The 26,229-nt window shown below is 42.7% G+C and overlaps 1 protein-coding gene and 1 long non-coding RNA gene across 15 annotated transcripts in view, besides 1 other annotated feature; one reads left to right on the plus strand and one right to left on the minus strand.

Annotated features, from left to right (window-relative positions):
• TNRC6A (trinucleotide repeat containing adaptor 6A) overlaps positions 1-26,229 on the plus strand; it is a 216,014-nt gene that overhangs the window by 35,683 nt on the left and 154,102 nt on the right. The window lies entirely within an intron of this gene.
• On the minus strand, positions 15,535-25,175 carry LINC01567 (long intergenic non-protein coding RNA 1567). Its single transcript, NR_122072.1, has 3 exons — positions 25,040-25,175; positions 18,951-19,138; positions 15,535-18,117 (listed from the first exon to the last, which is right to left on the minus strand). It is a non-coding gene; the product is annotated as a long intergenic non-protein coding RNA 1567 (long non-coding RNA).
• Positions 16,917-17,146: an enhancer, noted in NCBI's record as "active region_10600". NCBI's record gives its function as "activates an Ori minimal core promoter by ATAC-STARR-seq in GM12878 lymphoblastoid cells {active_cell/tissue: GM12878}" and the evidence as "EXISTENCE:reporter gene assay evidence [ECO:0000049][PMID:35858748]".

The raw sequence follows: 26,229 nt of genomic DNA on the forward strand, positions 1-26,229 counted from the left end.
GTGCATCTGTAGTCCCAGCTACTTGAGGGGCTGAGGTGGGAGGATCACTTGAGTCTGGGAGGCAGAGGTTGCCGTGAGCCAAGATAATGCCACTGCACTTCAGCCTGGGCAACAGAGCAAAACCCTGTCTTAAAAAATATATATTTTGCATATTGATTCATGTTAAAAATATGCAGAATCATTACTATTGATTTGTATTATGAAATGTTTTCATTTCAATGTAAATTCTTATACTTTTCCAGCTAGGTCACAGGTTTTTCTTTCTTTAGAGCTTGGAATTTATCTCATTTCATATACACTATGATATTGCTGAGAAAACTTAAGTCACACTGCCATGTTTATCTTTGATTATTAAATATTTGGCAAGCATTCCCTTTGTTTCAAGAAAATCTTGAATTGGAATTGACAGTACAGTAAATCTTTGTAAAACTCTTCCATGACTCAACCAATGAACATTGGCGAAGACCCAAGATCACCCCATTCATTGCCTTCTATTTCTTTCAAAAATCCCATGCACTGGTGGTGATTCACAGCATTTGTATGTATACACTGAACAGTTTTAACAACTGTACCCATGACACTTTCCATGGAGCCTGCTTCCAAAAGCAGCACAAATATTTTCAGTATTTATCATACAGTGGGATGAAGCAATAAGGGAAACATCAGTCTCTTGTTTTGAAACTCCAATAAAACCAGATTTTTGACCAAACATAGCTGGAGGACCATCTGGCATGATAGAAACTAATTTTTTCATATCTAAGTGAAATTTTTTTGGTCAGATGTAAAAGATGTTTTTAAAATCTATGCTACACTTTGGTAAGCCATGAATTGACAAGGTTTTTTCATAAATTTGGAAGACCTTTTTGAATAAATATACCCAGGCTATTAGTTGGGTGGTATCTCATGGCATGACTCAGCTAAATTGTGCAATTTTCCAAAATTTGAATCCATTTAGCTTTAATACGTTCTTTCATTCTATGGGCAATTGTTTGGTGGCTTAATTGCAGATTATTCACTTTCTGTAAAATCTTTATTTTTATTTATTTATTCATTTATTTTGAGACAGAGTTTCCCTCTATTTCCCAGGCTGGAGTGTGGTGGTGCGGATTGACCCCACTCCAGTTTTGACCTCCTGGGCTCAGTGATCCTCCCACCTCAGCCTCCTCCCCAGTAGCTGGGACTACAGGGGTGCACCACCACACTCAGCCATTTTTTTCTATTTTTCGTAGAGACAGGGGTTCACCATGTTGCCCAGGATGATCTCACACTCCGGTGCTCAAGCAATCTGCCCACCTTGGCCTCCCAAAGTGCTGGGATTACAGGTGTGAGCCACCACGCCAGCCTAAAATATCTTTTTAGTCTTTTCCTCATAATTTTCTAACAAAATTTTTACAACTTAAATAATTTTTTTACCATCTTTCCATTAAAAATTGTGTACATGTGTATACGCGCATGCATGCAAGAATCCTAGTCATTTTTATAGCTGGCCAAAGTTATAATCTCTAATCCTGATAAAATAAAATCTATTTAAAAGGTTTTTGCTCAACATTTTATTCTGATTTCAACTAACTAATTTCATTGGGTTTTCTCATTGTGGTAAAATATACACAACATAAAATTTACTATTTTAATCATCTGTAGGTATACATCTCCATGGCATTAAGTACATTCACACTGCTGTGAACCATCACCACCGTCCATCTCTACAACTTTATCTTCCCACACTGAAATTCTGACCCCATTAAACACTAACTCCCCCTTTCGCCCAGGCTGGAGTGCAGTGGTGTGATCTTGGCTCACTGCAACCTCTGCCTCCTGGGTTCAAGGGATTCTTCTGCCTCAGCCTCCTGAGTAGCTGAGATTACAGGCACGCGCCACCATGCCTGGCTAATTTTTGTATTTTTAGTAGAGATGTGTTTTCACCATGTTGGCCAGGCTGGTCTCGAACTCCTGACCTCAAATGATCAGCTGTCTCAGCCTCCCAAAGTGCTGGGATTGCAGGCGTGAGCCACTGCACCCAGCCTATTTTCTATATCTATGAGTTTGACTACTCTAGGAAATTCATATGTGTAGAACCATACAGTATTTATCCTCTTTTGTTGGGCTTATTTCACTTAGCATAATGTCTTCACGGTTCATCCATATTGTAACAAGTGTCAGAATTTCCTTCTTTCTTAAGACCATATACTATCCATTCATCTGTTGATGACCATTGGGGTAATTTTCACCTTTTGGCTATTGGGAATAATGCTGCCATGAACTTGAGTGTACAAGCATCTATTTGAGTTCCTGCTTTCAGTTCTTCTTGATATATACTAAGAAGTGAAATTGCTGGATCCATGGTATTTCTTTAATTTTTGAGCAATTGTACCACTTTCCACAGCAACTTTTTTTTTTTTTTTGAGATGGAGTCTCGCTCTGTCGCCCAGGCTGGAGTGCAGTGGCACAATCTTGGCTCACTGCAACCTCCAACCCCCAGTTCAAGCGATTCTCCTGCCTCAGCCTCCCAAGTAGCTAGGACTACAGGTGCCCACCACCACGCCTGGCTAATTTTTTGTATTTTTAGTAGAGACGGGGTTTCACCGTGTTAGCCAGGATGGTCTCGATCTCCTGACCTCATGATTCACCCGCCTTGGCCTCCCAAAGTGCTGGGATTACAGGCGTGAGCCACCGCGCCCGGCCCACAGCAACCATTTTACAGTCCCACCAGCAAGGCACAAGGGTGGAAGTTTTCTAGTTTGTCTGCATCTTCACCAACACTTGTTTCCTGTGCCGTTTTGTTTTGTTGGTAATCGCCATCCTAATGGGTATGAAGTGGTATTCTGAGGTTTGGATTTGCAGTCTCCTAGTGTCAAGGGATGTTGAGCATCTTTTCATGTGCTTCGTTAGTTCTTTCTTGAATGTGGAGAAAAACTTATCAAACTCACTATGTATTTGCTGAAAATGTCTCAATAGTTTCCACCTTATTCTCATAAAATTTTTTTTCACAACCAACATGCAGCTTTTTTGTTTCACTCTACCACAGCAAGTTGCAACTGTCATCCATCATGAAATCGGTGGCACATCTTCCTACAGTTTCTTAAGCGTTTCCCTTTTTAAAATTGACAAGCAGGCCGGGTGCGGTGGCTCACGGCTGTAATCTCAACACTTTGGGGGACTGAGGCGGGAGGATCGCTTGAGCCCAGGAGTTTGAAATCAGCCTGGGCAACATAGTGAGACCCTGTCTCTACTGAAAAAAAAAATTAGCCTACTCTGCCTCAAAATAAATAAATAATTGACAAGTAAAAATTGTATATATTTATGATGCACAATTGGTGTTTTTATATATGTATAAATTGTGGAATGGCTAAATCAAACTATTTAACATATGCATGTTACCTCACATACTTCTTTTTGTTTTCTTTGTTTTTTGTTTTGTTTTGTTTTGTTTTGTTTTTTTGAGACAGGGTCTCACTCTGTGGCCCAGGCTGGAGTGCAGTGGCACAATCATAGCTCACTGAAACCTCGAACTCCTGGGCTCAAGCCATCTTCCCACCCCAGCCTTCTGAGTATCTGGGACCACAGATGTGCACCACCACACCCAGCTAATTTTTTTATTTTTTGTAGAGACAGGATCTCCCTATGTTGCCCAGGTTGGTTTCAAACTCCTGGGCTCAAGAAATCCTCCCACCTCTGCCTCTCAAAGTGCTGGGATTACAGGCATGAGCCACTTCATCCAGCCCTCACATACTTCTTTGTGTGTGTGTGGTAAGAACACTTAATATCTACTCTCTTAGCAATTTTCAAATATACAATATGTTATTAACCATACTCACCATGTTGTACAATACATCTCTTGAACTTATTCCTCCAGTCTAACTGAATTTTTGTATCCTTTCACCAACATCTCCCCAATTTCCCCATCCCCCAGCTTCCAGTCTCTCTCTCTCTTTTTTTTTTTTTTTTTTTTTTTTTTTGGAGATGGAACCTAGCTCTGTCACCCAGGCATGACAGTGGCACAATTTTGGTTCACTGCAAACTTCACCTCCTGGGTTCAAGTGATTCTCCCACCTCAGTCTCCTGAGTAGCTGGTATTACAGGCATGCGCAACCAAGCCCAGCTAATTTTTGTATTTTTAGTAGAGATGGAGTTTCACCATGTTGGCCAGGCTGGTCTCGAACTCCTGACCTCAAATGATCTGCCTGCCTTGGCCTTCCAAAGTGCTGGGATTACAGGTGTGAGCCACCACACCCAGCCTCCAGTCTCTTAATTTACTATTCTTGTCATAGCACTAACATTTGCATCTCCATTTAATTCTACATCAGTTGCCTGCCTTTATTTTAAATTGGAAATTTTGTTCATGTATAGAAAAATAATTGAATTATAATTAAAATATTATGTATTTTTCTTTAGTGAACAATGTGATGCAAAGGTAACATGCAATTCATACTGTCTGGATAAAACATTCAGGTAAACACATTACAATGTTGTATCAATGCACAGAAAAAAAGGGTTTGGCCAGGTGCAGTGGCTCACGCCTGTAATCCCAGCACTTTGGGAGGCGGAGGCGGGTGGATCACTTGAGGACAGGAGTTTGAGACCAGCCTGGCCAACATGGCAAAACCTTGTCTCTACTAAAAATACAAACATTAGCCTGGCACGGTGGCAGGTGCCTGTAAGCCTAGCTACTTGGGTGGCTGAGGCAGGAGAATCGCTTGAACCTGGGAGGCAGAGGTTGCAGTGAGCCAAGATTATGCCACTATACTTGAGCCTGGGCGATAGAGTGAGACTCTGACTCAAAAAAAAAAAAAGAAAGAAAGAAAAAAAGGATTCAAACCAAACGAATTGACACCTGTTAGATGAGTGATAGGTTCACATGTGATCTGAGAAAACACGCACACGCCTGCCATGTGCACTGGCAATATAAGAATATTTTATGTGATGCACTTAGGAGAGAGAAATATAATCCTACCAAAGCAAAATTAAACTTAATAGAAAAATATTTTATACTGGTTCAGTTTTAAAATTTTAAAAATTAAGGAAACCTAAAAAGTTGGGCTCCCCATTCACATTAGCTACATTGCTAGTGCTCATTTGCCACACGTGGCCAGTGGCCAGTGGCTACTGGATTGAACAGTGTAGCTCCGTGTAGATCTATCAAACAACGATAAATTGTCTACGCAATTCCACTGCTCAGTATCTTCTCTAAAGAAACTCTGTCCAGGTGCACAGAAGGTATGTAGGAAGATGTTTCCCGCAACATTGTTTATAACAGTCACTAAGGAGAACAACCCACATATCCACCAACTGGGTATGGCAAAAAAAAAAAAAAAAAATTGTGGTGTATCTATTCTAAGGAATCGTATGCCACAATTTAAAATAGACACATTCGCCAGGCGCCGTGCCTCACGCCTGTAATCCCAGCACTTTGGGAGGCTGAGTCAGGCAGATCACCTGAGGTTGGGAGTTCGAGACCAGCCTGACCAACATGGAGAAACCCTGTCTCTACTAAAAATACAAAATCAGCCACACATGGTGGCCTGTGCCTGTAATCCCAGCTACTCAGGAGGCTGAGGCAGGAGAATCGCCTGAACCTGGGAGGCGGAGGTTGCGGTGAGCTGAGATCGTGCCATTTCACTCCAACCTGGGCAACAAGAGGAAAACTCCATCTCAAAAAAAAAAAAAAAAAAAAAAAAAACATAAAATAGACACATTGGCACGGTGACTCACCCCTGTAATCCCAGCACTTTGGGAGGCCATAGTGGGAAGATCACTTGAGCCCAGGAGTTTGAGACCAGCCTGGGCAACATAGTGAGACACCCCCTCCCCCCGCCATCTTAACAAAAGAAAAAGAAATTTAAAAATAAAAAATAAAATAAAATAAAAATAGGCACATGGTTAGATTGCTAAGACATATTACTAGGTGGGGAGGAAAAAAGAAAGTTGTACAATGTGATGTCATTTTAAAAATTGATGATAGATGCCAGGTCTGATGGCTCCCAAGGGAGGATCGCTTGAGGTCAGGAGTTTGAGACCAGTCTGGGCAACATAGCAAGACCCCCTCTCTAAAAAAAAAAAAAAATTAATTAAAAAAACTTTTTGATGATGGATAGATAGAGACACAGAAAGATACCAGAGAATGGTTCTCTCTGTGCCTCTATGAAAGGAGAGAGGGAACTTAGATGAACTTGGATTTAATAAGAAGAATGCATGTATGTATTACTCATATAATTAAAATTAATTTAGAATAAAAGAACTTGGAGAGAGGAAACTTAGATGAACTTGGATTTAATAAGAAGAACGCATGTATGTATTACTCATATAATTAAAATTAATTTAGAATAAAAGAACTTAAGAAAGGAAACTCTTGATCAAAATGAAAAGATGAACAAAAAACCAATTAAGTAGAATTCACTGCAATCCCGATTATATGGTGGCTAGATAAGTGTTATCCCATGGCGTAATATTTAATGCAAATGTCAAAAGTAATTCTCCAAAAAGAAGATACAGAAATTATATGGTGGCCTTTCTGTAAACTGAAACTGGGAAATGCTAGTAATCAAAACTAATTTATGAGGCTTTTCTCCACCAGTGTTTTGGCTAATATCCAGGTTACCCATCCCAAGCTGCTATTACATTAAAACCTCCAGACCTCAGCACCGATTGGCATCCAACCCACTGACTGCAACATTTTCCAGCATACCAATTGTTCTTATAGCCCTTGTTTTCATAATCACTGTCCTTTTTCTTTGGTGTTCTTCATCTATCCCATAAATACATATGTTGATTAAGTGGTAATTATTAGGCAACTGGACCCAAACAGCATATGAAAGACGGAATAAGAGGGGGAAAGATCTAAGAGTGTTTTGGGATCCTCAACGTGCCTGTCTTTACATTAGAGAAACCCAGTTTTAAATTAATAGTGCTAGTTCTCTACCTCCCTGTAGATTAAGTTTACCCCAGGGAAAACAGGACATGGATTGATCGTTTAATCCTTATCCCAAACTCAAAATTACCCTTGCACTATCTGACATTGATTGAGTAAATAGATTAGCCAAGAAAGACAATTCAATCAGCAGAGAGGCCTGAGAATTCTCTTGAACTTTGTTTAAAAGCACCCTGAAATTTGAGCTTCTTGGGAGCATTTGCTTCCAACCATTTTCTAAATTGAAATTGCATTCCACTTCCCTAAGACCACAGCCTTTTTCTAAGACAGGATTATGGGAACTCTGAACTATCTAAGCAGAAGTTGTGTGTCTGAGAATAAAACTGGAATGAACAAATCTATAAAGCAATAGAACAATAACCCCAACAAAGACAGCATGATTCACATTGCAAATGACAGGAAGAAAAAATAAACAAGGGAGCGTTCACCTCAGAAAAGACAACCACGATGACAATGATGAGACCTGAGATGACAAAAATAAAAGGACAGCAAGCCCTGTGGAAAACAAAGCCCTTCGGAATCGATTTTTAAAATCTAGCTACATCCTGTTTCCAAGAGACAAGCCTAATGCAAAGTGAATCAAAAGCATTAAGTGGAAAAAAGTGGGGGTGATCTAAAATACATCAGAAATACAAAGGAAATAGAAGAGTAATACTAATTTTAAAAAATACTTCTATTAACTGCCAGGCGCGGTGGCTCATGCCTGTAATCCCAGCACTTTGGGAGGCTGAGGCGGGCAGATCACCTGATGTCAGGAGTTCGAGACCAGCCTGGCCAACATGGTGAAACCCTGTCTCTACTAAAAATACAAAAATTAGGCAGGCAGGCATGGTGGCGCACACCTGTAATCCCAGCTACTTGGGAGGCTGAAGCACGAGAATCACTGGATCCCAGGATGTGCAGGTTGCAGTGAACAGAGATGGCACCACTGTATTCCAGCCTAGAGTGAGAGAGCGAGACTCTATCAAAAAAAAAAAAAAGAAGCCTAGTTAACGTGATAGGCATTACTTTAGACTAAAGGACTGTACTTTAGATTGAAGACCTCTCTGAAGAGATAATACTTTGAGCTGAGATCTTAGAAAGAAAATTATTAACTTTTTTTGGCAGGGGCAGACCAAGACTTTCTCTGTGGCCCAGGCCGGGGTGCAGTGGCGCAATCATAGCCCACTGCAGCATCCACCTCCCAGGATCAAGTGATCCTTTCACCTCAGCCTCCCAAGTAGCTGGAACCACAGGCATAGCCACCACACCCAGCTAATTTTTTAATGTTTTGCAGAGATGGGGTCTCAATATGTTACCCAGGCTGCCATGTGCACTCAAATTTGGTGCACTCAAATTCCTGGCCTCAAGCAATCCTCCTGCCTTGAACTCCTAAAATGCTGGGATTACAGGTGTGACCCACTGCACTTGGCTTATTAGCCAATGTTAACATATTAAATGAATCTATATATTGCTAGGCAGAGCAGCTTACAAAATGCCAGAATGCATAATCAAACTGGACAGGCTCAATGAATGATTACACTGTGCTTAATGGCTAAGCTCAACACCTTGATATAGCTTTATGATTTGCAGAAAATTTTTAGTAATAGTCCCTATAAGAATCACCTGTAGACCAGGTACGGTGACTCACGCCTGTAATCCCAGCACTTTGGGAAGCCAAGGCGGGCGGATCACCTGACATCAGGAATTCGAGACCAGTCTGACCAACATGGTGAAACCCCGTCTATACTTTAAAAATACAAAAATTCGCCAAGCATGGTGCTAATGTCTGTGGCATGCACCTGTAGTACCAGCTACTCCAGAGGCTGAGGCAGGAGAATCACTTAAACCCAGGAGGCGGAGGTTGCAATGAGATGAGATCGCACCACTGCACTCCAGCCTGGGTGACAGAGTGAGACTTCTTCTCAAAAAAAAATTAATAAAAAATAAAAAATAAAAAAACACACAACAACAGAAAAGAATCACCTGTAATTTAAAGTAAATTTCAGTAATTTTACTAAATTACTAATTTTAACCTAAAACTCACCAATTTTGGACAAAATCAGACACATAACCAAAAACATTCTGGACAGAATATTATTTCACGGTAGATGGTATAATTTCTCCCAAAGATAAAAACATTTATGATCATCTATGAGGTAAAGAAAAGGCTGGGCACAGTGTCTCACGCTTGTAATCCCAGCACTTTGGGAGCCCAAGGTGGGTGGATCACTTGAGCCCAGGAGTTCAAGACTAGCCCGGGCAACATGACAGAACCCCATCGCTACAAAAAATACAAAAATTTAGCTGGGCATGGTGGCAGACGCCTGTGTTCCCAGCTACTCAGGAGGCTGAGATGGGAGGAACACCTGAGCCCAGGAGGTAGAGGCTATAGTGAGAAGTGATCGTGCCACTGCACTCTAGTCTAGGTGACACAACAAGATCCTGTCTCAAAAAAAAAATTTGAAAGGCGGGGGGGAACACTGATAGAAAAAAAGATTTTGTCAAAAAACATGAAATTCTGCTTTGTGGTTTTAAAGTATTTTCACTATAATCGCCATTTATTTTTATTATAGGCCTTAGATAAGGGGAACAGTCTTTTAAGAGTTATTCCTGGCCAAGCATGGTGGCTCATGCCTGTAATCCCAGCACTTTGGGAGGCCAAGGCGTGTGGATCACCTGAGGTCAGGAGTTCGAGACCATCCTGGCCAACATGGTGAAACCCCGTCTCTACTAAAAATACAAAAGTTAGCCAGGCGTGGTGGCACATGTCTGTAATCCCAGCTACTCGGGAGGCTGAAGTAGAAGAATTGCTTGAACCTGGGAGGCGGAGGTTGCGGTGAGCCAAGATCGTGCCACTGCACTCCAGCCTGGGCGACAAGAGTGAAATTCTGTCTCAAAAAAAAAAGAGTATTTCGGTAGAAATATAAGAATTGTTGACAAAACTAAAATTGAGCTAAAGATTAACAAACTATTCTCAGTCTGAACGAACAAAATACAAAAGAAACAGGATTTAAATAACAGAATTAATAAATGTTAGATAATAGATACATAGCAAGAAATATAGGCCTGGTGCCCTGGCTCACACCTGTAATCCCAACAGTTTGAGAGGCCAAGGCAGGAGGATCACTTGAGGCCAGGAGTTTGAGACCAGCCTGGGCAACCTACGGAGACCCTTGTCTTTACAAAAAATTTTTAAAAATTAGCCAGGCATGGTGGTGAGTGCCTGTGGTCCCAGCTACTCAGGAGGCTGAGGCAGGAGGATCACCTGAGCCTGGGAAATGGAGGCTGCAGTGAGCCATGCACTACCACTGCACTCTAGCCAGGGTGACAGAACAAGACCTTGTCTCAAAAAAAAAAAAAAAGAAAAGAAAAGAAAAGAAAAATGAGGCCGGGCGTGGTGGCTCAGGCCTGTAATCCCAGCACTTTGGGAGGCCAAGGCAGGTGGATCACCTGAGGTCAGGAGTTCGAAACCAGCCTGGCCAACATGGCAAAACCCCGTCTCTACTAAAAATACAAAAAAAAATTAGCTGGGCATGGTGGCGCATGCCTGTAATCCCAGCTACACAGGAGGCTGAGGAAGGAGAATCGCTTGAACCCGGGAGGCGGAGGTTGCAGTGAGCCAAGATCGTGCCACTGCACTCCAGCCTGGGCAACAGAGCGAGACTCCATCTCAAAAAAAAAAAAAAAGAGAGAGAGAGAGAAAAAGAAGTACATATGCTTTTCAAAAATACATAGAACATATATTTAAAATGATAATATATCAGGCCAAATAAAAACTTAAAAAAATTCCAAAGGCAGAAATTGCACAAGTCAAATTATCTGTTAAAAACAAACTATAAATAAATAACACCAGGTTAACAAAAAGGGCAAAATATTTAGAACTTTTAAAAATCATTTATAGAAATTATTTTGGGGGAAAGAGGAAATTAAAATGGCAGCTTCTGTTTATGTACAAAACAACAAAAGGAACCCTACCTTTCAAAACTGATAAGATGTAAACAACCCTGTAATCAGAGGCAAAATTGTTATGTTAAGTGTTTCTATTAAGAAAGAATTTTAAAAATAAAATGTTTCACATAAAAGAAGTATGAAAAAGAACAAAATGACCCAAAGTAGCAGGTAGACAGAATCAAACCTAATAAAAGCAGACATTACTGAAACAAATAATAGAAATAAATGTTAAATAAAACCATGACCTGGGTCTTTGATAAGATCAATAAAATAAAACTCTAGAGAGGCGGGGCATGGTGGCTTACACCTGTAATCCCAGCACTTTGGGAGGCCAAGGCAAAAGAATCACTTGACCCCAGAAGTTGGAGAACGGCCTGGGAGACATAGCAAGACGCTATCTTCTACAAAAAATACAAAAATTAGCCAGGCATGGTGGTGCATGACTGTGTTCCCAGCTACTTACTTGGGAGACTGAGGCAGAAGGATTGATTGAGCCTGGGAGGTCAAGGCTACAGTGAGCAATGGTCACACCACTGCACTACAGCCTGGGTAACAGAGTGAGACCCTATCTCAAAAAAAAAAAAAAAAAAAAAAAAACAAACAAACAAAGAAACAAACAAACAAAACCTCTAGAGAGACTTATCAAGGAAAATAGAGCACATATTTCAAAGTTTGGAAATAAAGGCCGGGCAGGCGGCTCATGCCTGTAATCCCAGCACTTTGGGAGGCCGAGGCGGGTGGATCACTTCAGGTCAGGAGTTCAAGACCAGCCTGGCCAACATGGTGAAACCCCGTTTCCATTAAAATACAAAAAGTAACCAGCCATGATGGCACGCACCTGTAATCCCAGCTATTTGGAAGGCTGAGGCAGGAGAATCGTTTGAACCCAGGAGGCAGAGGTTGCAGTGAGCTGAGATCGTGCCACTGCACTCCAGCTTGGGCGACAGAGCAAAGCTCCATCTCAAAAAAAAAAAAAAAATGGAAATAAAAAATGGAGTTTAGCCAAAAATGCAGTGGAGACTTAGAAAGCTGTAAGAGAATATTTTGTCAATTCTATGCTAATAACATTGCATTTTTGAGATAATTTTATGCCACTTTTTTTTTTAAGCCAAGTTATATGGTGAATGTTGCTTACTAGTAGATTTCCTAAAACAGCATTTCCTACATTCCTAAAATATGCTGGGTTTTCTTTGGTACTATCTTATTTAAGATAAGATATTCATAAGTGAGTTTTGTTATATAGTTGTTCTTTGTGACATGATTTTCAGGTTTTGATGTGGCTTTGACAAAAAGTATGAACATCTTTTATTTCTCCGTGCCTGGATACAATTTATATAGAAGCAGAATTGCTTATTTCTTGGCTATTTGGAAGACTTTATCTAAAACTCCTGTGGGTCTGGTGAATTTGGGGTGGGAAGCTGGTTAACATTTACAGTTTTGTTTCTGCTTGCTGTTTTATTTCAGAGTTCTAAAACTGTGGACAATTAGTTACATTTTTCTAGAAAATAATCTACTTCATTCAGATTTTCAAATTTCATTGCACAGTTTTGCAAGGTACAAAGCCATTTCATTTCCTCTTTGTTATGATATTTCCTCCACTCTGTTTCTTTGTGTTTGTTTGTTTGTTTTTGAGGCAGAGTCTCACTCACTCTGTCCCCTAGACTGGGGTGCAGTGGCACGGTCTTGGCTCACTGCAACCTCTGCCTTCCCAATTCGAGCAATTCTCCTGCCTCTACCTCCCAAGTAGCTGGGATTACAGGCATGTGCCACCATAACCAGCTAATTTTTGTATTTTTAGTAGAGACAGGGTTTCACCATGTTGGCCAGGCTGGTCTTGAACTCCTGACCTCAAGTGATCTACCTCGGCCTCCCAAAGTGCTGGGATTACAGGTATGAGCCACAGAGCCCCACCCACCCTGTTTCTAATGTTGTGTTTTTGAGCTTTCTTCCTCTTTTTTTCCTGATTAGTTGACTTTTCAATTATTTATTTTACTCTAACCAACTCACCCCAAAGAGTTTGCTCTTACATTAATTAATTCTATTTTTTTGTGTATTTTCTTTTCTTTTTCTTTTTTTTTGTTTTGAGTCAGGGTCTCACTCTGTCACTCAGGCTGGAGTGCAGTGCAGATCATTGCTCACTGCAACCTCTGCCTCCCTTACTCAAGCGATCCTCCCACCTCAGCCTCCCAAGTAGCTGGGACTATAGGCGTGCGCTACCACACCCGGCTAATTTTTGTATTTTTTGTAGAGTTGGAGTTTTGCCATGTTGCCCAGGCTGGTCTTGAACTCCTGAGCTCAAGCAATCCACCCGCCTCAGTCTCCCAAAGTGCTGGGATTACAGGCACTTTGCAGTAGGACCCATTGCACCCCACCATTATTTTATTTTCTAATTCGCCCATTTATTATTTTATTCCTTCTTATTTCTTAGAATAATTTGTTGTTTTTCTAACTTCTTTGAGTGAATACTAAACTCACTTACTTTCTTTGTCCTTCTCTACTTATGCCTTTGTTTAGGGCTCTGTTCTACTTAACAATCCAGTTTTAGTCATAGGACAGAGGTTTTGCTATGTATTAATTTCATTTTGTTATTCAAGATGTTGAGAAATTTGGGTTTAAATTTTTTCTTTGATCTGTCTGTCTCTGTGTCTCTCTCCTCGTGCCCTCAAAAAACGCTCCCTTTTACCAAGTGGTGGGTGGTAGAATTTTCCCCTTCCAATTTTGTTGGTCTTGCTCTGTTACCCAGACTGGCTGCAGTGGTACAAACATGGCTCACGGCAGCCTCTGTCCCCTGGGCTCAAGCAATCCTCCTCCTTCAGCCTCCCAAGTAGCTGGAACTACAGGTGTGCACCACTATGCCAGGATAATGTTTGTATTATTTGTAGAGACAGGGTCTTGCTATGTTGTCCAGGCTGGTCTCAAACTCCTGGGCTCAAGCAATCCTCCTGTCTTGGCCTCCCAAAATGCTGGGATTACAGGCATGAGCTATCACACCCAGCCCTATCTTTCTTGTACTGTGACTAGAAAGTGGTCTCTACTCTTTCTCCATTTTGAATTTTGTTAAGATTTTCTTCATGGCCTGATACATCATCTATTACCATGAAAATTCCATAGGCACATAAAAGATGTATCCTCTATTATTAGTGCATAGTATTCGACATAAACTACAAAGTCGGCCTTATTAAATATACATTGAGATCCTCTAAATTTTTATTTTTAATTTTTTTATCTACTGCAAGCTGGGAGAGGTGAGCTATAGTCATATGTTAGTCTTGGTGTCTGTTGGAAGCTGATGCTGTAATTATTTTGATGCCATTTTATTTTATTTTATTTTTTTAACTTTTTATTTCTGTAGGTTTTGGGGGGAACAGGTAGTGTTTGGTTACATGAGTAAGTTCTTTAGTGGTGATGCGTGAGATTTTGGTGCAGCCATCACCCAAGCAGTATACACTGAACCCAGTTTGTAGACCTTTATCCCTCACCCCCTTCCTACCCTGTCCCCCTGAGTCCCCAAAGTCCCTTGTGTCATTCTTATGCCTTTGCATCCTCATAGCTTAGCTCCCACTTATGAGTGAGAACATACGATGTTTGGTTTTCCATTCCTGAGTTACTTCACTTCGACTAATAGTCTCCAATCCCATTCAGGTTGCTGCGAATGCCATTAGTTCATTCCTTTTTATGGCTGAGTAGTATTCCATCATTCATATATATATATATCAGATTTTTAATCCACTCGTTGATTGATGGGCATTTGGGTTGATTCCACATTTTTGCAGTTGTGAATAGTGTGAATTGTGCTGCTATAAACATGCGTGTGCAAGTTTGATGCCATTTTCTGTTGTGTTCTCACATTGAAGCTTTAGCCTAACTCTTAGTGCCCTTTGTCATTATAAAATGCCCCCATTTGTCTAGGTTGCCTCCCTTAACCTTAGATTCAACATTGTCTGATATTAATATCATGAATTCAGCTTTCTTTTTCTTTTTTCTTTTTTTTTTCTTTTTTTTTTTTTTTTTTTTGAGACGGAGTCTCGCTCTGTCGCCCAGGCTGGAGTGTAGTGGAGCGATCTCGGCTCACTGCAAGCTCCGCCTCCCGGGTTCACGCCATTCTCCTGCCTCAGCCTCCCGAGTAGCTGGGACTACAGGTGCCCGCCACCACGCCAGGCTAATTTTTTGTATTTTTAGTAGAGACGGGGTTTCACCGTGTAAGCCAGGATGGTCTCGATCTCCTGACCTCGTGATCCACCCATCTCGGCCTCCCAAAGTGCTGGGATTACAGGCGTGAGCCACCACGCCCTGCCCAGCTTTCTTCTTCTTAACCTTTATCTGGTATGTCTTTAAGAAAAATTTTTTTTCAATAGCTTTAGGGGTACAGGTGGCTTTTTGTTATGTGGATGAATTATGTAGCGATGAATTCTGAGATTTTAGTGCGCCTGTCAAAGGAGGAGTGTACATTGTACCTAATGTTCAGTTTTTTACCCTTAGCCTCCCTCCCACCCTTCCCCTTCTGAGTCTCTCAAGTCCATAATATCACTGGGTAAGGTATGTCTTTGCTTATACTTTTAATTTCAGTTTTCCTAAGAAACTGTATGGCATATTTTTTTTGTTTTCAACCAAAGTCAGGTTTTGCCTTTTTGACCTCACCTAAAAGTCTTTCTCTTTAAATTGCTTTGTTTTGTTTTGTTTTGTTTTGGAGACAGAGTCTCACTCTGTCCCCGGTCTGGAGTGCAGTAGCGCCATTTTGGCTCACTGCAACCTCCGCCTCCCAGGTTCAAGCGATTCTTCTGCCTCAGCCTCCCGAGTAGCTGGAATTACAGGCACCTGCCACCACACCCAGCTAATTTTTGTACTGTTAGTAGAGACGGGGTTTCAACATGTTGGCCAGGATGGTCTCGATCTCTTCACATCGTCATCCGCCCGCCTCGGCCTCCCAAAGTGCTGGGATTACAGGCATGAGCCACCTCACCTGGCCTACATCCTTATTCTTTACAGCATAATATTCTGTAGTGTAAATGTGTCACACTTTACCATACTCTTATTGAGGGTGCAATTAACTCATTAATGGATCAAGTAATTAATGCCCAGTGTGGCAAGGAAACAGAGACACGATCATGTTTCTACAGTACTGGTAGAGTTTTTAACTGATACAGTCCCCAAAAGGTATAAGATATCAAAGATCTTAAAAACATATGTACTCTGTAGTCCTAGTTGCTTAGGAGGCTGAGGAAGGAGGACTCCTAGAGCCCAGGAATTCAGTGGTGCGGTGAGCTATGATTGCACCACTGCACTCCAACCTGGGCAATGGAGTGAGATACTGCCTCTAAAAACCAAGCAACCAACATACAAAAATCTGTGCTCTTTAATTCATGTATAGAAATTCCACGTATAAAAATTCCATGTATAGAAATTTATCTTAAGATAATTATATGGCTGGGCACGGTGGCTCATGCCTATAGTCTCAGCACCTTGGGAGGCTGAGGCAGGAGGATTACTGGAGTCCAGAAGTTCCAGAACAGCCTAAGCAACATGGTGAGACATCGTCTCTATTTAAAAAAATACAAAAAAACTCCCCGTCTCTATAAAAAGTACAAAAAGTTAGCCAGGCGTGGTGGCGCACACCTGTGATCCCAGCTACACAGGAGGCTGAGACTGTGGAATCACTTGAGCGTGGGAGGCTGAGGCTGCAGTGAGCCATGATCGTGCCGCTGTACTCCAGCCTGGGTGTCAGAGCAAGACCCTGCCTCAGAAAAAAACAAAAAAAAAAGGATAATTAGATAATTATAGAAGAGCCTAATGATTACTCTGCAAGAATCATTATGGGTGCCTTATTTGGAAGCGTAAAAATGTTGGAAATAACCCAAATATCCAGCATTAGGGGAAATGGTTGAGAAAATTACAAATCCATCCAGTGGAATCTACAGGGCCATTAGCAGTGCAAGCAGGTGGTGAAGGGACCTTCATCTTATTTGCAGAGAGGCCATGCATAGGCATGCTAGCAGGTGTATTTTTCATTGTACTTTCACTGACCTTACAATATGTGGAAATGGTTCTTCAATTCTGGCAATAGAATAACTCCTCGTCCTGGTTCTGGTGAAGGCATGACAGCTGTGGGCATGCATGTGTGTGCTGGTGTATATGCACACACACATACATGCTCAAACTCTTAAACAGGAGCTTCTGCAAACGTGTAATAAGCTGGAGAAAGTCATTTTCATCAGCATCACCTCCATGAAGAGCACTGGGTTTATTTGAAAGAAATTTCTTGATGAATTGCTTAGAAGAGGATATGAGATCACAAATGATCTCAGTGTGTTCAGAACTGCCTTGCAAGAGGCAAGCAGGGGCCTCTTTCAGTTTACTCCAGAGGAAGTGAGAAAACAGAAGAGGGAGTGGGAAGATGTGTCGGGGAGTCCCCAAGACACGCTCAGGTATGACGATTTGCTGCAAAGAATCGCAGAACTCAAAAAAGCTGTTGTATTCACAGTTACAGCTTAACACAGTGGAAGGATGCGGATTAAAAATCAGCAAAGGGGCCAGGCGCGGTGGCTCATGCCTGTAATCCCAGCACTTTGGGAGGTCGAGGCCGGCGGCCTTGTCACTTGAGCTCAGGAGTTCGAGACCAGCCTGGCCAACATGGCAAAACCCCGTCTCTACTAACATATAAGAATTAGCCAGGCATGGTGGTTGGCACCTGTAATCCCAGCTCCTTGGGAGGCTGAAGCAGAAGAATCACGTGAACCTGGGAGGTGGAGGTTGCAATGAGCCGAGATCCAGCCACCGCACTCCAACCTTGGTGACAGAGTGAGACTCCATCTCAAAAATAAATAAATAGATAAACAAAATCAGCAAAGGAAAAAGGTGCTCAGGGCAGAATCCAGGCAGGAGCTTGCAGCTGTACCCTCCTAGATAGTCATATGTGCAGTGCTTAAGTCTCCCAGCAATGATGTGTGACAACACACGCAAAACACTGCCAACCAGGGGAACTCACCTGAGCCTTAGTGTCCATGGCTTTTCTTGGGGATCAGTTACCCAGTGTCCAGCCCCTCCAGAGGTCAGGCTGATACAGCATGACCGCAGGCACCCACCATAAATCATGTTGTTAGCATCAACTACCCGGCATGGCCCAAGGCCCCAGATATACAGAAGCCCTCTTATCAGGCAGAATATTTTAAGCCGTTAGCAGTTATCCTGCAGGAACAGGTGAAGAGCCAGTCCTTCCTCTGAGATGTGCAGGGTTTAACCATCCCAAGCCTCTTGAGATAACCCTGTAGTGAACAGAAGAGAAGGGGAAATGAAGGTAAGGAGGCTGGGAGTGGTGGCTCATACCTGTAATCCCAGCACTTTGGGAGGTGGAAGCAGAGGCGGGTGGATCACCTGAGATCAGGAGTTTGAGACCAGCCTGGCCAACACGGCGAAACCCCATCTCTACTAAAAATACAAAAATTAGCTGAGCATGGTGGCGCTCACCTGTGATCCCAGCTATTCGGGAGGCTGAGGCAGGAGAATCGTTGCACCTTGGAGACGGAGATTGCAGTGAGCTGAGATCATGCCACTGCACTCCAGTGTGGGGGACAGAGTGTGACCCAAATAATAATAAAATTCCAAATAATAAATAAATAACAATATTTATTATGTATTATTAATTTAATAAATTCATATTATAAATTTATTAAATTTATAAATTTAATAAATATGAATATAATAAAAATAATATATTTTATTTTTAAATATAATAAATATAAATATAAATATAATAAAAATAAATATAATAATATATAATAAATATAATATATATATTTTTAAAATATAATATATTTTTAATAATATATTTTAATTTATTTAAATATTTTAAATATATTTATTTTAAAATATAATAAATATAAATATATATTATTAATAAATATATTTATTAATAATAAATTTATTATTTATTATTTATTATTTATGTCTCCAAATAATAAAATAAAAAATAAAGTAGGGAGAGATCAGAAGACTCTTGTGTATAGGGTGCCTTGCAGTAATCCCCAAATCACACACACACACACACACACACACACACACACACACACACACAAAACCTATAAGAAATCCCAGAAACCTTTCTGTAAATGAAGGTCGAGTTTTGCATCAGAGAAAACGTGTTTGATTGAGGCCAGGGTGGTGGAGAACGGAAGTGACGACAGACAGAAGCCAGCAGAAGTAAGGCACGAGGCTCCACAGAATCACGGGATGGTTGCAGCCAGATTCTAACATCAGAGGGGCAGGATTTGAAGTGGAGAGGCTGATCTGATGAGGAGGAAGGACAAACTAACTTATTTATTTATTTGTTTGTTTATTTATGTTAGAGACAAGGTCTCACTCTGTTGCCTAGCCTGGAGTGCAGTGGTTCGTGCAATCATAGCTCACTGCAGCCTTGAACTCCTGGGCTCAAGCCATCCTCCCACCTCAGCCTCTCGAGTAGCTGGGACTACAAGCTCATGTTTTTAAAACTGGCTAATTTTTTTTTAATTTTTCTTATAGACACGGGATCTTGCTATGTTGCCCAGGCTGGTCTTAAACTCCTGACCTCAAGCAGTCTTCCTGCCTTTGTCTCCTAAAGCGCTGGGATTACAGGCATGAGCCACCACATTCAGCCTGGAAAGAATTGGTAAATGGCCCCATCCCAGTTGAGTCAAAGACTCAGAGAATCAGGGCAGAGCATTAGGTTTTCATTGCCTTTTAACTCATTGGGTGAATCTAATGTGTAGCCAGGGTCAAGACCCACTGCTCCAAGGTGTTTTCTTCACAGTCATAACAATAGTCTTGTTCCATATTACCTTAAAATAGTTTCTCAACCTCAGCACTATTCACATTTTGGGTAGGATAATTCTTTGTTCTGAGAGGCTGTTTGGTAGATTGTAGGATGTTTCTTTGGCAGTATCCCTGGCCTTTACCCCACTATAGTCTAGTAGCACTCCCTTCCCAGTTATGACAATAAAAAATGTCTCCAGACATTGTCAATTGACCAGTCCTAGCTGGTCAAAATCTCCTCTGGTTGAGAACTACTGCCTTGCAAGAATTATTGAAGTTGTCACTTGTGGAAAATTTGCTTGCAGGGACAAATCTTTCCCTGCAACTCGTCTGTCTATGCTCTGCTAGCATATCAATCAAATCTTTGTGAGGTGTTGGTGGTGGTGCGGGGCAGCTGATTGAGGTTCCTTTTCAGTGGAAAGTTGTGAGTGGTTGTACTGAAGAAATGGTACATGCCAGCATAAATGGGAAACCTTCTGAGTGTTTGTGAGAAATGATGTTCAAGAGAATAAGTGTGCCAGGAGCGGTGGATCACGCCTGTAATCTCAGCACTTTGGGAGGCTGAGGTGGAAGGATGGCTTAAAGTCAGAAGTTTGAGACCAGCTGGGGCAGCATAGCAAGACCCCATCTCTACAAAATTTTAAAAATTAGATGGGCAGCCAGGAGCAGTGGCTCATGCCTGTAATCCCAGTACTTTGGGAGGCCAAGGCGGGTGGATCACGAGGTCAGGAGATTGAAACCATCCTGGCTAACACAGTGAAACCCCATCTCTACTAAAAATACAAAAGAAAAAATTAGCCAGGCGTGGTGGCAGGTGCCTGTAGTCCCAGCTACTTGGGAGGCTGAAGCAGGAGAATGGCATGAACCCGGGAGGCAGAGCTTGCAGTGAGTCGAGATCGCGCCACTGCACTCCAGCCTGGGAACAGAGCAAGACTCCGTCTCAAAAAAAAAAAAAAAAAAATTAGATGGGCATTGTGACACATGCCTGTGGTCCCAGCTACTCAGGAGGTTGAGGTGGAAAGATCACTTGAGCCCCAGAGGTCAAGGCTGCCAATGAGCTATTGGCACTGCACTCCAGCCCAGATGACAGAGCAAGACCCTGTCTTAGAGAAAAAAAAAAAAAAAAAAAAAAAAAAAAAATATATATATATATATATATACATATGGCAGGGGCAGGGGCAGTGGTGACAGCTGGAAAAAATCTCAACTCCAACATTTACTCACTGGCTTATCTTGGTTGTCTAGTTAGTTTTTACTAACCGAAGGCACTCCAAAACTTAATTGCTTAAAAAAACACCACTCTTGGCTGGGCATGGTGGCTCACACCTGTAATCCCAGCATTTTGGGAGGCTGAGGCGGGTGGATCATTTGGGATCAGGAGTTCGAGAGCAGCCTGGCCGATATGACGAAACACCATCTCTACTAAAAATACAAAAATTAGCAGGGCGCAGTGGCACGTGCCTGTAGCCCCAGCTACTCAGGAGGCTGAAACAGGAGAATTGCTTGAACCCAGGAGGTGGAAGTTACAGTGAGCCAAGATCATGCCACTGCACTCCAGCCTGGGTGACAGAGCAAGACTCCATCTCAAATAAATAAGTAAAAATAAAAAGAACACCACTCTTTACTGCTTATGAGTCCATTGGTCAGTGAGGGTGGTTTTTCTGGTCTCATCTGGACTTTTTGATGTATCTGTGATCAGCTGCTGGCTGGAGTGGTGGCTCTGCTGACCTTGGCTGGGCTCTGTCCCGTGCCTGGGCCTCAGCTAGGACAAATGGACTCCTCTCATCCTGCAGAAGACAGGCCTGGCCCCCTGCACATGGCAACAACAGGGATCCCAAAGTATTCCCAGGAAACTGACAAGGCCTCTTGAGGCCCAGACTCAGAACTGACCCATCATGCCATCTGCTGCACTATTGTGGTCCAAGTAGATCATAAGGCCAGTAGGCAGGAAAACGGATTTCTCTCTTAATAAGAGGAGCTGCAAAGTCACTTAGTAAAGTGACCACAATGTGACAGACAGGGAGGGGAGGAGAACTGTGGTCAATCTACCACATCTGGGAAAAGTACTGAACCTCATTAAGCCTCAGTTTTCTCATCTGTAGAATAGAAATAGTATTACCTACCCCCCAGTTGTTATGAAGATTCAATGACTAGCGCATAGTTAGTGCACTACTAATGATAGCTATTATTGTTGTCATATCGTTCCACTGTTTAATATATTTCAGTATGTTGGGCATGGTAGCTCACACCTGTAATCCCAGCACTTTGGGAGGCTGAGGCAGGAGGATGACTTGAGGCCAGGAGTTCAAGACCAGCCTGGGCAACATACCAAGAAAATTTTTTGAGTTAGCTGGGCGTGATGGCACATGCCCATAGTCCCAGGTACTCAGAAGGCTGAGGCAGCAGAATCTCTTGGGCCCAGAATTTTGAGGCTGCAGGGAGCTAGGATTGCACCACTGCACTCCAGTCATGGCAACAGAGCAAGACCCTGTGTCTTAAAACATTACATATATATAGGCTGGGTATGGTGGCTCACGCCTGTAATCCCAGCATTTTGGGAGGCTGAGGCTGGAGTATCACCTGAGGTCGGGAGTTCAAGACCAGCCTGACCAACATGGTGAAACCCCCTCTCTACTAAAAGTACAAAAATTAGCCAGGCGTGGTGGCGCATGCCTGTAATCCCAGCTACTTGAGAGGCTGAGGCAGGAGAATTGATTGAACCCAGGAGGTGGAGGTTGCGGTGAGCCAAGATTGTGCCAAGCCAAGATCATGCCATTGCACTCCAGTCTGGGCAACAAAAGCAAAACTCCATCTCAAAAAAAAAAGAAAAAGAAAAAAAGAAAAGAAAAGAAAAATAAATTACATATATATATGTATATGTATATTTCAGCGCTTGCACTTTACTCAGTGAATAAGTGCAATTTACAAAGCCTTCATGATCTGGGCCAGTCCCTCGGCTCTACCCGACTTCCCCCACTGGGCTTCAGTGCCTCTGAACTACTTAAGCAGTCTGAAACTGGCATCACGCTTGCCTCCATTTTTATCACCAAGGCCATGCTTTCCACCTGGCATTGGCCACCGGAACAATTAGACTCAGCAGAGATGCAGTCTGCTCTAGGGCCTACTTCTTACCCTGCCTTTCCCGCCCCCTCTGAGAAGAGGTAATTATTCACCCTTAATTAAGGCCAGCCATGACCTTAGATGGGAAAGAACATGGAACATTTGATGTCATTGAATTACTCAGTGAGAAAGTCATTCTTCCTTTGGTTGCTTTGCAGCACTTCTGATTAAAAAGGAAAAAGTTTCATTTTGTGCTAGTGTGCCTTTAACACCTCTCTGAGCCTTGCCAACCTCCCTTTGAACAGAGTGAGCCTGAGTCTCTGAAAGTTCAACAGGAAAAGGGTATTAGCTGGAATGCGACGACACAATTAGTCTCGTTGTTTTTATTTTTATGGGTTTTTTTTTTCATGGCAAGTGATGCTAATTTCACATTTTCCACAGTGCGATCCAGATTTCTTCAAACCACATTTATTTGACCAATGAAAGGGGGATCAATTTAAAGAGAAATAAAGCCTTAAATAAATAACAATGTGAGTGGTACTCAGGACTAAAATAGAGAGGGGAAACTTGAGGGATGAGTTTGGGAAAATCCTGAAATAGATCATCTGTACAATCTCTTCTAATAAAAATCCTGGCGGGGCATTCACACTTATAATCCCAGCAGTTTGGGAGACTGAGTTGGGTGGACTGCTTCAGCCCAGGAATTCGAGACCAGCCTGAGCAACATAGTCTCTACAAAAAATTTAAATATTAGCTGAGTGTGGCAGCGTGCCCCTGTAGTCCCAGCTACTCAGGAGGCTGAGGTGGGAGGATCACTTGAGCCCAGGAGGCAGAGGCTGCAGTGAGCTCAGATTGCAACACTGCACTCCAGCCTGGGCAACAAGCAAGACTCTGTCTCAAAAAAAAAAAAATCCTATAGCTCCCATAGGATTCCCTGGTTGTTTGTTGAGTCATGCCTTTGTTGGACACTAGATTCACAGTCTATGAGGGCAGTGACTGTGTCTGGGCAGTGACTGTGTCTTCTCAGCCTTTGCTCCCAGCTCCTTACAAAAGTGCTGGCAAATTCAAGCACTCCAGTACCATTCGTGGGAGAGGACTGAGTCGCCAGTGATTCATCATCCTGTCCTCAGCTGAATTGTGTAATCCCCATGGTGCTGGCAGGAGGAGGAATAACAGTACTTGTTTTAGTAGTAAGAGTAGTAATAGTAATAGTAGCACCAACAGTAATAGAAGTAGTTGTTATAGTAATAATAGCAACCATTTACTGGGTTCATTATATGAGCCAAGTATTAGGCTTAATGCTATATGCATCCACTCATTTTGTTCTCGTTATGACCCTATGAGGCAGCTACTTTTTTTTTTTTTTTTTTTTTTTTTTTAGACAGAGTCTCACTCTGTCACCCAGGCTGGAGTGCAATGGCGTGATCTTGGCTCACTGCAACCTCTACCTCCCAGGCTCAAGCAATTCCCATGCCTTAGCCTCCCTAGTAGCTGAGACTACAGGTGCATGCCACCATGCCCAGCTAATTTTTGTATTTTAAGAAGGGACGGGGTTTCACCGTGTTGCCCAGGCTGGTCTTGAACTCCTGAGCTCAAGCAATCCACCCACCTCGGCCTCCCAAAGTGCTGGGATTACAGGCGTGAGCCACCACACCCAGCCAGCTGTTCTTATTATCTCCATTTTACAGATGAGGACATTGAGGCTTAATGTGGGAAAATAGTTTGCCCAAAGCCACTTAGCTGGGAAGTGGCAGAGCTGGGAGTCTAAGGTCAGTCTCACTCCCAGGTTGGTGCCCTTCAGGACTGCAGAAACAACCCTTCCCGCAAGGGTCTCCCAGATGCAATGCGTTGCACCTTTCTGGAGGCTACGGGGCTGCTGTTTCAGCAATTCATGTATAATTTAAGGGAATTTGGAAGCAGTCTGGATATTTAAATGATGTCTTAGTAATGTAAAAATCTGCTTCTCTTCAATCTGTATTCTTTTCAAATTCAGTAGACTATCTGAGAACTCTCCTGTCTGTACTCCCTCTCCAAATACCTGCTTGGCCCCACCTGTGCCCTGCCCAGCCTCCGATCTCTCTCATTTCACTGAAGAAATGAGATTCGGATGGAAAAATACTGGTACAAGCTTGACCGAGCTTCTCTAACAGACACTGTGCATCACGCATCAGCTGCTGCTGTTGCTATGGTGACAGCCACAATTTCTCCCAGACAGCTTGGGTCTGAAGGGAGGGTGGACCCTTGGGGAACAAGTGGATCTCTCCAACCTGTCAGTCCCTCTCACCTTGCCCGTTTCTCTCACCTCCCCCACTCCCGCCAGCCCCCACACTTCCTTACATGATGCTGACAGGGGGTACCAGCACCCCCAGGCCATCGTAATTAGCATCTGGCCGTGATCCCAGTCTCCTGGCAGCACATTCCTCATCTTCCTCGCCAGCCAATCTCCTTTCCCCAGCAACCCTCCGACAGCACTGCAGCAGCTGCCGCACCGACAGCCTCCGCGCCAAGGTCACCCACCACCAGCACCAGCAATGACGAAGCACCCGCCTGCTCCCTGGGTGGACATGACACCGTTAATGCCTCACTGTGTCTAAACCATTTGGGGTCAGAAAATTGTGATTCTAAAAAAAAGAGAGGTTGTCCTTAGGAAGATGGGTGAGGCTAAACTCCAGTTGCTGGAGGGGCTAAGAGATTCATACGGCTTAAGTTTCATCGCTTAAGGTCTCCAGGAGAGAGGGAACTGAGCAGGAGGGGCATAAGACATTCCAGAAGGGTGAGGAAAGAATGAGACAAGTTTGCGCATTGACGCGGCTTGGACTCTGGGGTGCTGAAGATGCTGGTGGTGATGAGGTGGAGGATGCTGGTTGGAATGATGGTGATGGCAATGGCTCATTTATTCAGCATCCGTGATGTGCCAGACACTGCACTAGGCGCTGTGCAGGCACTATGCCCTGCAGTTCTCGCACTGCCTGGGGAGTAGAATGTGGTACCCATGTGGTGGCTACTGTCACTGCGCCCATTTCACAGATGGGGAAATCGAGCCTAGAAAACACCCCGAGGAAACAATCACACGAATCCAAAATGTGAGATGTTTCCATGACAACTAGCCTGGATGAGCTCTTAAAAATATCAATGTCAGGCCAGGTGCAGTGGCTCACGCCTGTAATCCCAGCGCTTTGGGAGGCCGAGGTGGGAGGATTGCTTGAGCCAAGGACTTCAAGACCAGCCTGGGCAACATAGTGAGACCCTGTCTTAATAAAATTAAAAAATAAAAATCAGTGTCACTTACAAAAGGGTAGAAATCTTTTCTAGAAAAAAAGAGTAAAGAGACAAAAACCAAATGCAATTTCTGATCCTACATTGGATCCTGACCAGAAAAATTAAAACAGTCATAAAAAGACATTTGAGGGACAGTTGGTGAAATTTTAATATGGACAGCATGTGAGATTGTGTTAGGAAATCATTTTTAATTCTCTTCAAGAGTGATTCGGGAGTTGTGTTTGTGTAGGAAAGTGTTCTTTGTTTAT

This window comes from Homo sapiens, chromosome 16, assembly GCF_000001405.40.
Source record: "Homo sapiens chromosome 16, GRCh38.p14 Primary Assembly".
NCBI classification, from domain to species: Eukaryota; Metazoa; Chordata; class Mammalia; order Primates; family Hominidae; genus Homo; species Homo sapiens.